This window comes from Homo sapiens, chromosome 6, assembly GCF_000001405.40.
Source record: "Homo sapiens chromosome 6, GRCh38.p14 Primary Assembly".
Taxonomy (NCBI): domain Eukaryota; kingdom Metazoa; phylum Chordata; class Mammalia; order Primates; family Hominidae; genus Homo; species Homo sapiens.
Genome location: NC_000006.12, coordinates 26,196,087 through 26,211,112, shown reverse-complemented (window position 1 = coordinate 26,211,112; position 15,026 = coordinate 26,196,087). Strand labels below are relative to the sequence as shown.

Genomic DNA, 15,026 nt, shown 5'->3' with positions numbered 1-15,026 from the left:
ACTTGTCCAAGCATCAACCATCTCTTCCAATACCGACATGATTTATACTATTTTCTGAACTTTCTGAGTTCAAGCAATTCTCCTGCCTCAGCCTCCCAAGTAGCTGGGATTACAGGCGTGTGCCACCATGCCTGGCTAATCTTGTATTTTTAGTAGAGACAGTGTTTCACCATGTTGGTCAGGCTGGTCTCGAACTCCTGACCTCATGTGATCTACCCACCTTAGCCTCCCAAATTCCTGGGCTTACAGGCGTGAGCCACTGTGCCTGGCTAATCTTGTATTTTTAGTAGAGACAGTGTTTCACCATGTTGGTCAGGCTGGTCTCGAACTCCTGACCTCATGTGATCTACCCACCTTAGCCTCCCAAATTCCTGGGCTTACAGGCGTGAGCCACTGTGCCTGGCCTCTTTTCTGACATTCTATATAATATTTAATTCCTGCTCTGCTTCCCATGAGGGCATGTTTTGACTGACCAAATAGACTGAAAGCTCCTCAAGGGCAGGAAAAAATATAGAGGGAGGCGGTGGGGAGGTGTTGTAATGCTAAACAGTGTTGTTATGGATAGCCTCAAGAAGACTATGATATTTGAATACAAACCTGAAGGAAGTGAGTGAACAACACCTGCAGAAACCTAGAAGCTGAGTGGACCACTCAAGGGGAACCATTAGTACGTCCTTCCTGAGAGTGATGAGTACTTCTAGCAAGTTCCAGGAACTAGTCGAGTTGGCTAGGAAGGAGAGGAAGAGTAGCGGGATTTGAGGCTAAAGAGGTAACAAGGATCAGACAGTGTGGCGCTGTAACCCACTGAAAGGACCTTGAGGTGTTTTTTTGTTGTTGTTGTTGAGACGGAGTCTCGCTCTTTGGCCCAGGCCAGAGTGCAGTGACGCTATCTCGGCTCACTGCGTGCTCCGGCTCCCGGGTTCACGCCATTCTCCTGCCTCAGCCTCCCGAGTAGCTGGGGACTACAGGCGCCCGCCACTGCGCCCGGCTAATTTTTTGTATGTTTGGTAGAGACGGGGTTTCACCGTGTTAGCCAGGATGGTTTGGATCTCCCGACCTCGTGATCTGCCCGCCTCGGCCTCCCAAAGTGCTGGGATTACAGGCGTGAGCCACTGCTCCCGGCCTTGAGTTTTTCATTAAGTGACATGAGAACCACTTGGGGGGGTTTCAGCAGAGGAGTCATCTGATCTGAATTGCCCTTTATTGGAATTCCTCTGGGAGAACCAGGTGATGATGGTGTTGCAATAATAAAGGTAGGAGATGGCAGGGCTTGACCAGAGTAGCAGCAGTGGGAATGAGAAATGGTTGAATTCTGTTTGTGTTTTCAAGGAAGAGCTCATAGAACTTACTGATAGATTATTATGTAGGATGTGAAAGAAAAAGAGATGATTCCAACTAAAAGTGTATAAATGCCATTCACCAATTTCAAGATGATGAGATTAGCTGTTTGGCAAAGATAACGAGATTCTGTTGAAATTTGAAGTTCATATTAATTGGACTTTCAAGTAAATAACAGGGTCTCTGAGTATGGAGTACAACGCTGTAGGCTGGTCATTTAGTGTTCATGACATAAATATATATATATAGTATCTCCACAGCAACAAGGAAATATCAGTTCAAAAGAATCAGATGGAGATTTTCATTCTCCAGGTCCATCTTCTCAGAGCCATCAGAAGTGGCAGTGCTAAGGGAAGAGAAAAGGCAGCATCAGATACAGAGCTCTGAAGCTGGTTTCCACGAATAGGCTTCAGGATGCCTGAGAACACATAGAATTGCATCAGGGGATTCAAATGTCCCCAAATATGTGGTGAGAGTGGGTGTATTTTGGAAAAACTGTGAATATCTATAACTGGATCTCCAAAGTGATCTCCCCATGGCTCTAACTTTAATAGATTATTTAAGTGAGGATTCCAGTGTTATTTCATACTCTTATTAGTAAGGGAATTTTTCCACATTTGTAAAATAGGGATAATATTTATTGTTTGTTCTGAAAATTACAGGAGAAAAGGAAAATTACTGGAGAAAGAAATTGTAAAACTGTAAGTTAGGAATTCACATGTCATGTATACAAAAAAACACTCTTTACTTCTTTGACCCAAAACTTTTTCTCTTTATTATCTACCTTCTTTCTTAAGATATTTAATCCCATCTTGTGGCTTTTTCACTCTTACGGCAATTATGGTTTGACGACTGTGAATTATATCTCCATGTTTCTTTTCTAACCTGCAGGTTTTTATAGCCAACTGCCTATTTCATATCTTTCATATCTTTCTCTTAGATATGTAACAGGCATCTTAAATTCTCTCTGGATATCCAAAACTAAGAATTTGAATCCTCTCCAAAACTTGTTCCTTATTTTTCCACATTTTAGCAATTGATACCTCCAGTTCCAGTTGCTTTGGCAAAATCATTGGAATCATCCATACATTTTGGTCTGTCTTTCATACTCTACACATTCAGTAGCTCAGAAAAGAACTATGAACCTTACTTCAAAATATATATAGAATCCAACCACTTTTCACAGCCTCTACCACTAACACACTGGTCCAAGCCACTGCCATCTCAACTGCATTACTGTGGTACCCTCCGAACTGGTCTCCTTGCTCCTATCCTGGTCTCATCATAGTTTATTCTTCATCAGGCATCCAGATAGCTCATTAAAAAAATAAAAATCAGGCCCGGTGTGGTGGCTCACGCCTGTAATCCCAGCCCTTTGGGAGGCTGAGGTGGGCAAATCACGAGGTCAGGAGATCAAGACCATCCGGGCTAAAACGGTGAAACCTCATCTCTACTAAACATACAAAAAATTAGCTGGGCGTGGTGGCACACACCTGTAGTCCCAGCTACTTGGGAGGCTGAGGCAGGAGAATCACTGGAACCTGGGAGGCTGAGGTTGCAGTGAGCCGAGATTGCGCCACTGCACTCCAGCCTGGGCGACAGACTGAGACTCTGTCTCAAAAAAAAAAAAAAAAAAATATATATATATATGTGTATGTGTGTGTGTGTGTGTGTGTCTATAAATCAGATTATGTCAGTTCTCCGATCAAACCCTTGCAGTGGCTCCCATCTCACTCAGAGTAAAACAGTAGTCACACTGGTCTGCAAGGCCATATAGAGACTCGTCTCCATTTGCCTCGCAGATCATATTTGCTTTTTCTTTGCACCCTGTCTGATACTGGCAGTGGGTTCTTGACCCTCAGAAAATAGAAATCGACCAAGAATCTAAGATGGACTTGAGCAAGGAAGTTTATTAGGGCTTTCGGCTTGAGCAGAAAGGGAGACAGCAACCAGAGGTATACTTGCAGCTGGCTCCTTGAAAGCAAGCTAGTCTAGTTTGTTATTCTTCTGTGAGCTTCGTCTAGGTGACATCATGGCATGTTTGGGGTGGTCTGTTGGATACACCTTTGCAGTCCCTTGTCATGCTTTTTCCTGTGTCTCAGGTCTCATTGGCAGCTTAAATCTCCACGCAGGGGTATGAATTTTATCATTAACATGATGCAAAAGTTAGGTTAGGATAATCAAAGTCCCTATAGCACATGTTCATTTGGGGAAGGTCTTTTGGAAGTCCCTATGCTGATGGCGAGGATGTTTGTCGTTAGAGTGTTCTATTTCTTTTATGTCTGATTGGCTGATTTTATGAGCGGAAGCTTCAGTGGCTGCAAGGTTATGGAGCTGGGTGCTGCTGTAGTCAGCACAGCAAGTAAACAAGTGTGGAGGGGTCCCTTGTCCTGCCTTCCATTGTCTGCCTCACCTCTGCCCCTTTTTCCAGTCATAATACCTGCTTTTTACCTCCATGCTTTCCTGCTGGGTATTCTATTTAGAATACTCTCTCACTTTCTCAATGTATTTTTTCTTTATCACTTTATGAGTAAAATTTTTCAAGACCATATCATTTAAAATATCACTTCTTCCCTCCACATGCTATGCCTTTTCCTGCTTCAGTGATCTTCATAGCAGTCAGCACCATCTGACACACTGTTTCACTTATTTTGTGTGTGTACCCCCACCCAATAAATATAAATTCTATGCACACATATCGTTTTGTTCTTTCTCATTCACTGCTGTAATTCCCAGAGCATAGAACAATGCTTGGTACATGCTATGTGCTCCTTTTTGTTGCTGTTGTTACATTAACATCCTCATAAAACTTTTTCTCCTCGAACTAGTGCCTTAGCACCAATAACATGATGCTTTTCATATATATGCACGAGCTCACACTTTTTAAAAATGACATTCAAAGTAACTATTTATTTTCCTGATTTCAAAGTATCAGCCTACGGACAACTTGCTGGCTAGAAGAAAAATCTGATTTTCAATGGAACTATCACCCTAAACCAACGGTTTTTTTTTTTTTTAATTTTTTTGGCAGTCTTTCTCTGTTGCCCAGGCTGGAGTGCAGTGGTACCACCTTGGCTCACTACAACCTCTTCCTCCTGGGTTCAAGCGATTCTCCTGCTTCAGCCTCCTGATTAATTGGGATTACAGGTGCCTGCCACCATGCCCAGTTAATTTTTTTATTTTTAATAGAGTCAGGTGTTCACCATGTTGGCCAGACTAGTCTTGAACTCCTGACCTCAGGTGATCGACCCACCTTGCCCTCCCAACGTGCTCGGAATAGAGGCATGAGCCACTGTGCCCAGCCCAAACTTGCGATTTTTCTATCACTTGGAATTTACATAAACCGGACATCATGTGTTTCTGATGTAGTGTACTATGTACATTACATCTGTAAACTGTTCCTGACAGGCATATTCACCCGATTTCAATTAAGTGTATGAAAGTCACTTGTACTTTACAGGACATGGGGAGTACAGAAGCCAAGTAAAACGATTAAGAATCAAGCCAATACAAAACAAAAGCAAAACAAAAACATTCTGTAAGTCTGGTCTCCGAGAAATCAATGTTCAAAAATGGGGAAGTAGGGGAGAGGAGCCTGTTTTAGATAAGAAAACTGGAGACACAACGGAAGTTATGGCTGGATCCTTCTTTAAACAAACCACATCTCCAAGACATCTGGGGCATAACTGTGGAATGACGACATATCTTTTTTGAACAATAGACAATGAGATCCAAGCAGGAAGTAACAAAGACTTTATTTTCAGAGGGAGAAGTAATCCCAGGATGGAATGAGCGCTCTGTGGCAGTGAAGGGGAGCTGGAATATATATATGCCTTACAGAGTCAACCTTACATACAGATTCAGTAGGTTTGGAAAAATTCTATGAGTATTCATGAGGGAGGAGATGAAATCACAAATCCGTCTCCCCGACCAAAATTGGGGGGCTTATGTAGCGAGAAGGGCGAGAAAACAGGAAATCAGGGAGGGATAAGGACGCAATCATGATGGATGAAACATAGGGAGTCTCACGGTCTCGATGCAAGTGATCTGGTGTTTCAGTTCCTGCCTCAGGCAGGAACATGAGTTCCTAAACATGAGTTCCTAAACATTTGTCTCATGTGAGATAAATGCTAAATTTCAAGCTTTAGGGTTTAAAGAGAGTCAAATTCTTTTATTCAAAAAACAGCAAATATCATAACTTCTAAGGGACAACTGGGTTGGCTTAATAGAATTCCGAAATGAATGCTTGCAACCTCTCCTTGCGTGAGCTTATCTACCCCAGGAACTTCTACACACCTAAACTCGGTCGTTAGGTTAAGTAATAGAAAACAGGCCGCTAGAATTTAAGGCCCACACTCCTTTCCAGGAAGATGATTGGTTGCGCTAATTCGCGGGTCCGGCCCATTGCCAGGCACCGGCTTTGTTCTTCGCTCTCCGCCATTTTGAGCGGTTACGCAGTGTCTTGCGGTTTTCCCACTTATGTCGAAAACCATGCATTTTTAGGTACTCAAAATAAAAGTGGTAAGGTAAACAGACACTATTACCCTAGCCTTTTCAGTGCAATCTAAGGCCCTACTACAATAAACATAAAAGGATCGTAGCCTAAAAAATCGTATGCCGAAACCCCAAATGTAATTTGGAACGAAAAAAAAAAAACGGCTGAAAAATATACGTACCTGTTGACAGGAACAATTAACTTATAAAGAGACCAACCAATCGTCTAACAAGTCATGAGCTCTTTTGCGGAAAACTGTGGGCGGCCCTGAAAAGGGCCTTTGATTTGGGAAGTCGAGATGCTGAGTCGTTTAAGCGGTAGCATTAGCCGCCGAAGCCGTAAAGAGTGCGTCCCTGTCTCTTCAGCGCGTAGACCACATCCATCGCTGTCACTGTCTTGCGTTTGGCGTGCTCCGTGTAAGTCACAGCATCACGAATCACGTTTTCCAGAAACACCTTCAGAACCCCGCGAGTCTCCTCGTAGATGAGACCAGAAATGCGCTTGACACCCCCGCGACGAGCAAGGCGCCGGATGGCAGGCTTGGTAATGCCCTGGATGTTATCTCGCAGGACCTTACGGTGACGCTTAGCGCCTCCTTTACCCAGTCCCTTTCCGCCTTTGCCGCGACCAGACATGACCAACACACCAACGAAAATAGCCGCAAAAATCTGAAAAACAAGCGACGGTAGTATTCTTATATGCCGGGAATTCGGACCTAAATGAAGACTGAAAACGCGCATACGGGAACTTTGGTGCTGCCTGCTGGCCCTACCCTTCACAGATCAGACTGGGATGACGTCACCAACGACTCCAGTTCCCGCCGGCAGAGTCCGCTCTCCATGGAGTCATCTCTGCAAGTCTTGCGTTCCCAAAGAGGAAATTTAGGCATATTTTAACAACTAAATGAGATTAAATACATTAACATGTTTAAAATCATTTGCTGCTTGGGATGCTCTAGGACGATTGAACAGGAGCTTTGGCTCACAAGACCGGAACTGCAGTAATCTCCTTCCATGAGGAGTTCAGCTTTGTCCCCATAGGCACGGTTCCTCTGGCATTTCTGCTGCTTGCTCTCTTGGGGACGGAACCCCCTTAGGAAGTGTTTGAAAACTGCAAGATCTCACCCTCTCCACCACCAAGCCAAGGGAAATCTGACCAAAAGGATTTTCCTCCCGAAGAGAAAAACACGGATAATTAGTGATCCCGCCGGGCGTTGTGGCTCACGCCTGTAATCCCAGCACTTTGGGAGGCTGAGGCGGGCGGATCACCTGAGGTCGGGAGTTCAATACCAGTCTCCAACACGGAAAAACCGCATCTCTACTAAGAATACAAAATTAGCCGGGCCTGGTGGCGCATACCTGTAATCCCAACTACTTAGGAGGCTGAGGTAGGAGAATCATTTGAACCCAGGAGGCAGAGGTTGCGGTGAGCCCGGATCACACCATTGCACTCCAGCCTGTGCAACAAGAGCGGAACTCCGTCTCAAAGAAAAGAAAAAAAAATTTTTGATCCCATGAATTCTGGTCCTCGCTGTGGACGCCCGTATTACATTTTTGGCTTATTTTTCTTTCTTCCCTGTTTATTAAAATTTATAATTATCATTTAAATATCTAGCCAACTCGCACATCTAAACCTAGAAACTCACTGGTGTGTTAATGTTTACTTCTCTATTGTTAGTTTTCTGTTCTCTTTGATGCTGGTAGCAGCCTTTATCACAAGAGAATTGGCAACGTGTAATGGGCCAAGTTATTAAATAGGCGACTTCCTACAGGCTTTTAAAATAAAAGGTGTTGGGACTCAGAAAACAATGCTACAAAATGAAGGCCTCCGTAGTAACTTTTTCTCCTTCTCCTACCTTCCTCTTTCTCCCTCCCATTCTTCCCCGAAGCTAGCTATAGGAACTAGACTGCTTCCTTCCCAAGATGGAACATATAAACCAAAGCTAGACTCAAAGCTAGCCATAAAACCTAAAAAATATGAATCCAACTTTCCTTCTGCCTTTTTGTGTAAAAACTGGCAGTAAAGAAATTGCCTGGCCTACCTCGTTTGATTGTAGGTCATAAGACCCCGATTCAAGAGAGGGCTTGTCCTATTCCCAGGAGGAGAGAATGCTGCCCAAGAAAGTCCAAGAATATAGACAGGCCTTGCTGGGCTATTATCATTAGCTCAGTCTATTAGCATTAGCTCGTACCCTTTGTGTCCAATCATATTTCTACACAGCTGTCCCTACTTTGTTGAATCTAAGCATAAAAATGTATGATTTCCCCTGTATCTTTGAGTCTTCAGTTCGAAGGCTACTGGGTACATGTTAGTTAATTTGTATGCCCTGCTAGGCATGCAAATGTTAGGACTTCTACTGTGAAAAGAAATCAAATATGTAGAAACTAAACAAAAAGGAACTGTAAATTGCTGCTGTTAAAATGCCAGCAATATCAAAACTCTGTGAGACTGTGATATTTAGGAAGAATTTACATGCTTCTATAATAATTTTAATAGTATTTACATATTTGTATTATATATATAAAATTGTAATTTAATAGAACATTAGTTAATACATTACTGAATTTTTTTTTTTTAAGTTTTTTCGGCTGTAAGTTTATTCAATGCAAAACAATCCTCTCCAGTTTTACTGAGGTGGCTGACCAGGCCCACGACCAAATCTGCCTCTAAACTGGAATTCGGTTGTTGACCCAGCCCCAGCCTTGGCTTTCTTGTCAGCACCAGGGGACACAGCACTCCGTCTGTAGGTATCTCTGTCGGCTTCCCCTCTTGTGAGTCTTGCAGGTTGCTCACCCTCCAGACCTTCAGGCGGAGGCCTGCCAGTCTCTGGACGGCTGTGGTGTAGGGTGGCAGGCACAATCTCTGTGGGCAGATGAAGGTAATTACAGAGATACTGGATGCCCTCATTGGTAAGGTACCACTAGAAATGTCTCCAGGCAAACTGTTCCTTCAAGTAGCCCTGGGACTTGAGAGACTGCATGGCCTTCATGACACGAAGGTTGGGCACATTCTTGTCTGCCATTTCTAGGTGCTTAGGCATATGGACATCCTTCTTGGCCACCATGACTCCCTCCTTAAAAAGGAGTTCATAAATGGCAATCCAGTTCTTCTTACGCATCAACATCTCAGCAGCTGTAGGGTCCCGGGCTGGGGCTGGTACATTACTCAGTCTTTAAACTTGCATGGGTGTATTGGTTTCCTATTGCTGGTTTGAAAATTTATCACATTTTATGATTAAAAAATACAAATTTGTAATTATATAGTTTTAAAAATTGGGACTCAGTCACAGATCTTACTGAGCAAAAGTGTCAAGGTGTTGGCTTGATATTAAGTAAAGAAATAAAGAGCCTGTATCTTTTCCCTTGCCTTTTTAACTGATAGATGCCACTCTCTCCTTAGATCATGGTCCTTTTCTTTCATTTTCAAAGTCTGCAATTTATGGCCAAATTTTTCTCATGCTGCCATATCTCTAGTTCTCTATTCCAATTCCCTCTTCCACTTTTAAGAATCTTTGTAATTATATTGGGCTAATTCATAACATGCAATATAATCTCCTTACTTTAAGGTCAGCCAATTAGTAGCCTTAATTCCATGGAAACCTTAGTTGCCCTTTGTCATGTTACCTAACAAAGACTCCAGGAATTTGCAGACTCCAGGGATTAGGATGTGGTCATCACTGGGGTATCCTTATTCTGCTTAACATTTTTAGAATCTGATAGAAAGCTATATAATTTGTTCTGGGAAGGGGAAACACATATGGCCACATTTCTGCATATAATTTCAGAAACTTGTTGTATTCCCCTCAAGCTGATGTAGACCTTAGTTTAGATATTTACTTCTGGAACTACAGAAAGCAAAAATCGACTGCTATGCCAATGTAAATTGGCACATGAAGCCATTTAGTATTTTTAGTTTTCATTTTCCTAGGTTTTTCTTGTTGCTTTCATTTTTTCAGTTGGGTTTTGTTTATTTGAATGTTTATATATGCTTTGCATGTGCTGTGTTCTGTGTCCATTTATGTGCCGGACAGGGAGTGGGAAGTTGAAAAATAATTATGGGACGGGTGTGGTGGCTCACGCCTGTAATCCCAGCATTTTGGGAGTCTGAGGATGGTGGATCACCTGAGGTCAGGAGTTCGAAACCAGCCTGACCAACATGGTGAAACTCCGTCTCTACTAAAAATACAAAAAATAGCCGGGCATGGTGGTGCGCGCCTGTAGTTCCAGCTACTCGGGAGGCTGAGACGGGAGAATCGCTTGAACCCGGGAGCCAGAGGTTGCTGTGAGCCGAGATTGCGCCATTGCACTCTACTCTGAGCAACAATAGCGAAACTCCTCCTCAAAAAAAAAAAAAAAGTAATAATATAGAATACTATTCCTTTTTTCTTAACTGGGTTGAAATTCTAAGAATCTTTTATATATAATATTTTAAATATTTTTAAGATACAAAAACATTTTGTAAAAATTTTAAGTATTCTACACTGGATGCCATTCATAACAGTTTATGATCTTAAGTAAGGCTTGTAATTACCAAGAATACAGTAAAACTTCAGTATCTTTATATATGAGTATATAGAATAGAAAAATTGTATTTGTAAGTAGAATGACATAAATTATTTTTTCACTTAAAAATTACAACTTTTGCTTATTAGAATAAAATGAACACATATGAAGTCAACCCTGAAGGAAAAAAAGTCAAAAACAACTTTGAGGAAGTGACAAGAAAATATTTTAGGATTAGGGGTGTGTCTCATTACTCCCAAATGGTATTTTGCCAGTGGCCAAATTTTCTTTAACTAAACCAAGAACAATGTTGATTATTAGTGCTGCATCCAGGCTCGGGTGTTCACATTTTTTCAGTTTTCATGCACATTACTTGTCTTGCTTTCCTTATATTTTAAAGAATTTGATTACATTATTTTAACCAGCTAAATTCGCCAATGCTGCGATGACTAAACCGGAATTAAGGAAGACATTCCTTTCCCTCACACTATGTCAGTAGCAAAAGAGATATTTCAAAAGTTCTTTTCTTATGAAACCAATTTGACAAGGGACACATCACAGCACAACATAAGAAAAATGTGCTTATCAGCACAATGGGCTAGCCTTCTAACCAGCACTTGGGGTAAAACAAACATGCTACGGTTAAGTATAGCATTTTCCTTCAACCAGTCAAAAGAACTGTGGTCTAGACCTACACAGCAGCAACCCCCTCAAATGAGGATAAAACCAAACCTGTTGGTGGTAAACACGGAAAATATGCAGGTAATTACAACTCTATAGCTGAAAAAGTGGGTGGCTCTTAAAAGAGCCTTTGGGATTGGGTATGAAGACGTTAGAATTACTTAGAGCTGGTGTACTTGGTGACGGCCTTGGTGCCCTCTGACACGGCGTGCTTAGCCAGCTCCCCGGGCAGCAGCAGGCGTACGGCCGTCTGGATCTCCCTGGAGGTGATGGTGGAGCGCTTGTTGTAATGCGCCAGGCGGGAAGCCTCGCCAGCGATGCGCTCGAAGATATCGTTGACGAAGGAGTTCATGATGCCCATGGCCTTGGATGAGATGCCGGTGTCGGGGTGGACCTGCTTTAGCACCTTGTACACGTACACGGAATAGCTCTCCTTGCGGCTACGCTTGCGCTTCTTACCATCCTTCTTCTGCGCCTTGGTCACCGCCTTTTTGGAGCCCTTTTTTGGAGCAGGAGCGGACTTAGCAGGTTCAGGCATGATAAATAAACACTTCGTCCACAACCTAAAGAGAAATGCAAGTGTCCTCACTCTGCAGCTGGTAATATTTGTAGAGCTCCTATCGTAAACTGGCATTTAAAAGCTTACACATTGATTGGATGAATTGTCTCTGTGTGCCCTGTGGTATGCAAATTAGGTGATTCTAGCGTTTCTTTGCAATTGGTTGGTTGTTCTAGCCAATCAAATAGCGTTATTTACAATTCGACCTCCAAGTATAATAGTTTCTCACTTGCTAACAAAATTCACTTTTACATTTTTGTCTTCATTGCTTAACATCGTTTTTAAGAATTCAAAATGTCCGGACGCGGCAAGCAAGGCGGAAAGGCCCGAGCTAAGGCTAAGACCCGCTCTTCGCGGGCCGGACTCCAGTTCCCTGTGGGCCGCGTACACCGCTTGCTCCGCAAGGGCAACTACTCCGAGCGAGTCGGGGCCGGCGCGCCAGTGTATCTGGCGGCGGTGTTGGAGTACCTGACCGCCGAGATCCTGGAGCTGGCGGGCAACGCCGCCCGCGACAACAAGAAGACCCGCATCATCCCCCGACACCTGCAGCTGGCCATCCGCAACGACGAGGAGCTAAACAAGTTGCTGGGTAAAGTCACAATTGCTCAGGGCGGTGTTCTGCCCAACATCCAGGCTGTACTGCTCCCCAAGAAGACTGAGAGTCACCACAAGGCCAAGGGCAAGTAAAACGAGAACTCTTATATTGGCTTTTTAAGGAAGCAGTCTTAACAAAGGCTCTTTTCAGAGCCACCCATGTATTCCTTAAAAGGGCTCACATTTTCTGTGTAAATAGCTATTTTGCAGTTTTCTTTAATAATTTTTCCATTTATAAGTGGGTGTTCTTAACACTGAATCGTGAAACTAACCGTCCATTTTAAAGATGCCATAAAAATACATAAGCAAATTGGCGGGGCGCGGTTCCTTACGCCTGTAATCCCAGGACTTTGGAAGGCCAAGGTGGGCGGATCACAGGGTCAGGAGTTCCAGGACAGCCTGACCAACATGGTGTGAAGCCCCGTCTTTACTAAAAATAAAAAAATTTGTCGGGCGTGGTGGCGCGCGCCTGTAATTTCAGCTATTTAAGAGGTTGAGGCAGGAGAAAATGTTGAACCCCGGAGGCGGAGGTTGCAGTGAGTCGAGATCGCGCCACTGCACTCCAGTTTCGGCGACAGAGCGAGACTGTCTCAAAACAAACAAAAACCCAAAAAAGCAAACTAATTAAAATGCAAAGAGACTTTATGTCACATGTAATTTAAATCGATCAATGCAGCGGCTCGTTAGGATTGCAAAGCTGTTAAAAGGCCTGAGACATACAGGAGAGAAGTTAATGTTTGTCAGTGTTTACATTTACATAAAAATATAGTTAGTGACTTAAAGCAACAGAACCAGAACAAATGTTTTATTGTCTTTTGTATGCATCTTAATGATACGAAATAACCTGTAATTTGTAAGTATTTTTTGGGTTTGTTTTTGCAAGCCACTTTCAACTCTACTGAGCTAACCCTAATTAATTATCAATAGGAATACAAACCTACATCCCCTGGAGCCAGACGGCCCTTAGGTGGAGCTTCTTAGCACAGTGTTCAGCATGACTAAAAGGGCACACTGGTCTTTTTGTGCCATTTATAAATTTGGCTTTTTTTTTTTTTTTTTTTTACAGCAGATTACACAAATACCAGTTGAACTTGTAAAAGATAAGAGTGCTTTCATATGAGGATGACATATTGTGGTGAAATTAAATGTGTTCATGTAGCTTAACATCAGGTTTCATATTGTTACTTATGAGTTAATAGTCATGGTGCATTTGGAACAAATTATTGAAAATATCTCCAAGTTTAAATAGACAAATCAAGATATGAAATTAACCTTTCTAAACTTAAGAGGGTAAAAAGAAATCACTTGGCCAATCACAACTAGCGCGCGTCTTTTTAAAACGTTGATCAAAGCCAGTTTCAGCGCCAACATTTAAAAAAAAATTAAGACACGTCATCCTAGTAGCTAGACACAATTTTGCCAAGGAAAACCAAAGTACGTTTTAAATAAAAGCTAGAAACATGGCACAGAGGGGAAAGGGTTGAAAACACCAGCAGTTAAAGATGGACGGAGGAAAGTTTTAATATTTGGTCTACATGCAGGAGATGTTCTGTCAGGGAGTGGGCGTCTCCACCAATCGAGCTGCAGGGGAAAGGCTGCCTTGTCCAATCAGAACAGGGGTGTCTTTATATATACGGGTACGAAAGGCTAGACTTTCGTTTTTTCGTCATTTAGCAGGGTTTAGAAGTTCGCAATGGCTCGTACCAAGCAGACTGCTCGCAAGTCCACGGGTGGGAAAGCGCCACGCAAGCAGCTGGCCACCAAGGCTGCTCGAAAGAGCGCTCCAGCCACCGGCGGCGTGAAGAAGCCCCACCGTTACCGGCCCGGCACGGTGGCTCTGCGCGAGATCCGCCGCTACCAGAAGTCGACCGAGCTGCTGATTCGCAAACTGCCATTCCAGCGTCTAGTCCGTGAGATCGCGCAGGACTTCAAGACTGATCTGCGTTTTCAGAGCTCGGCGGTGATGGCGCTGCAGGAGGCCTGCGAGGCCTACCTGGTGGGGCTGTTTGAGGACACCAACCTATGCGCCATTCACGCCAAGCGAGTGACTATCATGCCCAAGGACATCCAGCTTGCTCGCCGCATTCGTGGGGAGAGGGCGTAAATTGTCTTGTGAATGTGTGCTAACCAAAACCCAAAGGCTCTTTTCAGAGCCAACCACCTTTTCTATAAAAGTTGCTGTTTACTGTTGCTGTCCGTAAACTGGAACCTCTGTTCACTCAAGGTAAGTAAGCATTCTTGCCTCTATCCGTTCCCCCTCCCCTCACGGAATTGGTGCAAAAAGCTTTATTATAATTGGGGAGTTCTTAAAACAGCCTTTAAGGTACTCTTATATCTCCTTGTTTTGGGGGCCGCTTTCTTAGGCTTGGATGCCTCCGGCTTGGGAACTTTCTTGGCCACCTTTGACCAACCAACCTTCTCCAGCAGCCTCCACCAGCAAAAGCTTTTGGGGTCCGCTTAGTACTCTTTTTCGGAATAAGGACGCCCCAAGCTTTCTTGGGCCTCTCGGCTGCCAGGACAGCTGTCTTGGGCATGACTGCAGCGGCTTTTCTGGCCTCGGTCTTGATTTTCCTAACACTGCCTGGTTTGGCGGGAATGAACCTGAGGCGCTGCACTCCTTAGCACGAAGATGCCCTCGTTTGTTTTCAAGGCCCAACTTTATTCAAATAATTTTTAAAAATTTGTATTTATTTTTAGGGACGAGGTCTCACTGTGTTACCCAGGCTGGCCTCAAAACTCCTTAGCTTGGCCAGGCGAGGTGGCTCAGGCCTGTAATCACAGCACTTTAGGATGCCAAGGCGGGCGGATCACGTGATGCCAAGAGTTCGAGACCAGCCTGCCCAACACATTGAAACTT

At 43.5% G+C, this 15,026-nt stretch overlaps 4 protein-coding genes and 1 pseudogene across 5 annotated transcripts, besides 16 other annotated features; 2 read left to right on the top strand and 3 right to left on the bottom strand.

Annotated features, from left to right (window-relative positions):
- Window positions 4,766-4,865: an enhancer, noted in NCBI's record as "active region_24210". NCBI's record gives its function as "activates an Ori minimal core promoter by ATAC-STARR-seq in GM12878 lymphoblastoid cells {active_cell/tissue: GM12878}" and the evidence as "EXISTENCE:reporter gene assay evidence [ECO:0000049][PMID:35858748]".
- Window positions 4,916-4,995: an enhancer, noted in NCBI's record as "active region_24209". NCBI's record gives its function as "activates an Ori minimal core promoter by ATAC-STARR-seq in GM12878 lymphoblastoid cells {active_cell/tissue: GM12878}" and the evidence as "EXISTENCE:reporter gene assay evidence [ECO:0000049][PMID:35858748]".
- H4C5 (H4 clustered histone 5) lies at window positions 6,092-6,503 on the bottom strand. Its single transcript, NM_003545.4, has one exon. It carries the CDS (start codon window positions 6,466-6,468, stop codon window positions 6,157-6,159), a length of 312 nt encoding a protein of 103 aa, NP_003536.1. The 5' UTR covers window positions 6,469-6,503; the 3' UTR covers window positions 6,092-6,156.
- Window positions 6,316-6,455: an enhancer, noted in NCBI's record as "active region_24208". NCBI's record gives its function as "activates an Ori minimal core promoter by ATAC-STARR-seq in GM12878 lymphoblastoid cells {active_cell/tissue: GM12878}" and the evidence as "EXISTENCE:reporter gene assay evidence [ECO:0000049][PMID:35858748]".
- Window positions 6,466-6,715: an enhancer, noted in NCBI's record as "active region_24207". NCBI's record gives its function as "activates an Ori minimal core promoter by ATAC-STARR-seq in GM12878 lymphoblastoid cells {active_cell/tissue: GM12878}" and the evidence as "EXISTENCE:reporter gene assay evidence [ECO:0000049][PMID:35858748]".
- Window positions 8,408-8,990, bottom strand: RPS10P1 (ribosomal protein S10 pseudogene 1; annotated as a pseudogene).
- H2BC7 (H2B clustered histone 7) lies at window positions 11,125-11,597 on the bottom strand. Its single transcript, NM_003522.4, has one exon. It carries the CDS (start codon window positions 11,552-11,554, stop codon window positions 11,174-11,176), a length of 381 nt encoding a protein of 126 aa, NP_003513.1. The 5' UTR covers window positions 11,555-11,597; the 3' UTR covers window positions 11,125-11,173.
- Window positions 11,129-12,328: an enhancer, noted in NCBI's record as "BRD4-independent group 4 enhancer chr6:26199013-26200212 (GRCh37/hg19 assembly coordinates)". NCBI's record gives its function as "activates an origin of replication core promoter dependent on BRD2, P300/CBP, MED14 and CDK7 cofactors, and independent of BRD4, by STARR-seq in HCT116 cells {active_cell/tissue: HCT116}" and the evidence as "EXISTENCE:reporter gene assay evidence [ECO:0000049][PMID:35650434]".
- Window positions 11,129-12,474: a biological region, named in NCBI's record as "BRD4-independent group 4 enhancer GRCh37_chr6:26199013-26200212".
- Window positions 11,156-11,245: an enhancer, noted in NCBI's record as "active region_24206". NCBI's record gives its function as "activates an Ori minimal core promoter by ATAC-STARR-seq in GM12878 lymphoblastoid cells {active_cell/tissue: GM12878}" and the evidence as "EXISTENCE:reporter gene assay evidence [ECO:0000049][PMID:35858748]".
- Window positions 11,237-11,856: an enhancer, noted in NCBI's record as "NANOG-H3K27ac-H3K4me1 hESC enhancer chr6:26199485-26200104 (GRCh37/hg19 assembly coordinates)". NCBI's record gives its function as "activates a minimal SCP1, AML or CMV promoter by ChIP-STARR-seq in naive H9 embryonic stem cells {active_cell/tissue: H9 hESC(naive)}" and the evidence as "EXISTENCE:reporter gene assay evidence [ECO:0000049][PMID:30033119]".
- Window positions 11,820-12,329, top strand: H2AC7 (H2A clustered histone 7). Its single transcript, NM_021065.3, has one exon. It carries the CDS (start codon window positions 11,870-11,872, stop codon window positions 12,260-12,262), a length of 393 nt encoding a protein of 130 aa, NP_066409.1. The 5' UTR covers window positions 11,820-11,869; the 3' UTR covers window positions 12,263-12,329.
- On the top strand, window positions 11,820-14,329 carry H3C4 (H3 clustered histone 4). Of its 2 annotated transcripts, NM_003530.4 has the most exons (2): window positions 11,820-12,254; window positions 13,844-14,329. In NM_003530.4, the coding sequence occupies exon 2, from the start codon at window positions 13,863-13,865 to the stop codon at window positions 14,271-14,273; it is 411 nt and encodes a 136-aa protein (NP_003521.2). In that variant the 5' UTR covers window positions 11,820-12,254; window positions 13,844-13,862; the 3' UTR covers window positions 14,274-14,329. The 2 variants fall into 2 exon arrangements, with proteins under 2 accessions (NP_003521.2, NP_001363866.1); NM_001376937.1 differs by lacking the exon at window positions 11,820-12,254 and having other exon boundaries at window positions 13,827-14,329.
- Window positions 11,857-12,474: an enhancer, noted in NCBI's record as "NANOG-H3K27ac-H3K4me1 hESC enhancer chr6:26198867-26199484 (GRCh37/hg19 assembly coordinates)". NCBI's record gives its function as "activates a minimal SCP1, AML or CMV promoter by ChIP-STARR-seq in naive H9 embryonic stem cells {active_cell/tissue: H9 hESC(naive)}" and the evidence as "EXISTENCE:reporter gene assay evidence [ECO:0000049][PMID:30033119]".
- Window positions 12,016-12,195: an enhancer, noted in NCBI's record as "active region_24205". NCBI's record gives its function as "activates an Ori minimal core promoter by ATAC-STARR-seq in GM12878 lymphoblastoid cells {active_cell/tissue: GM12878}" and the evidence as "EXISTENCE:reporter gene assay evidence [ECO:0000049][PMID:35858748]".
- Window positions 12,376-12,445: an enhancer, noted in NCBI's record as "active region_24204". NCBI's record gives its function as "activates an Ori minimal core promoter by ATAC-STARR-seq in GM12878 lymphoblastoid cells {active_cell/tissue: GM12878}" and the evidence as "EXISTENCE:reporter gene assay evidence [ECO:0000049][PMID:35858748]".
- Window positions 12,606-12,665: an enhancer, noted in NCBI's record as "active region_24203". NCBI's record gives its function as "activates an Ori minimal core promoter by ATAC-STARR-seq in GM12878 lymphoblastoid cells {active_cell/tissue: GM12878}" and the evidence as "EXISTENCE:reporter gene assay evidence [ECO:0000049][PMID:35858748]".
- Window positions 12,696-12,755: an enhancer, noted in NCBI's record as "active region_24202". NCBI's record gives its function as "activates an Ori minimal core promoter by ATAC-STARR-seq in GM12878 lymphoblastoid cells {active_cell/tissue: GM12878}" and the evidence as "EXISTENCE:reporter gene assay evidence [ECO:0000049][PMID:35858748]".
- Window positions 13,498-14,098: an enhancer, noted in NCBI's record as "H3K27ac hESC enhancer chr6:26197243-26197843 (GRCh37/hg19 assembly coordinates)". NCBI's record gives its function as "activates a minimal SCP1, AML or CMV promoter by ChIP-STARR-seq in primed H9 embryonic stem cells {active_cell/tissue: H9 hESC(primed)}" and the evidence as "EXISTENCE:reporter gene assay evidence [ECO:0000049][PMID:30033119]".
- Window positions 14,099-14,700: an enhancer, noted in NCBI's record as "H3K27ac hESC enhancer chr6:26196641-26197242 (GRCh37/hg19 assembly coordinates)". NCBI's record gives its function as "activates a minimal SCP1, AML or CMV promoter by ChIP-STARR-seq in naive H9 embryonic stem cells {active_cell/tissue: H9 hESC(naive)}" and the evidence as "EXISTENCE:reporter gene assay evidence [ECO:0000049][PMID:30033119]".
- Window positions 14,477-14,586: an enhancer, noted in NCBI's record as "active region_24201". NCBI's record gives its function as "activates an Ori minimal core promoter by ATAC-STARR-seq in GM12878 lymphoblastoid cells {active_cell/tissue: GM12878}" and the evidence as "EXISTENCE:reporter gene assay evidence [ECO:0000049][PMID:35858748]".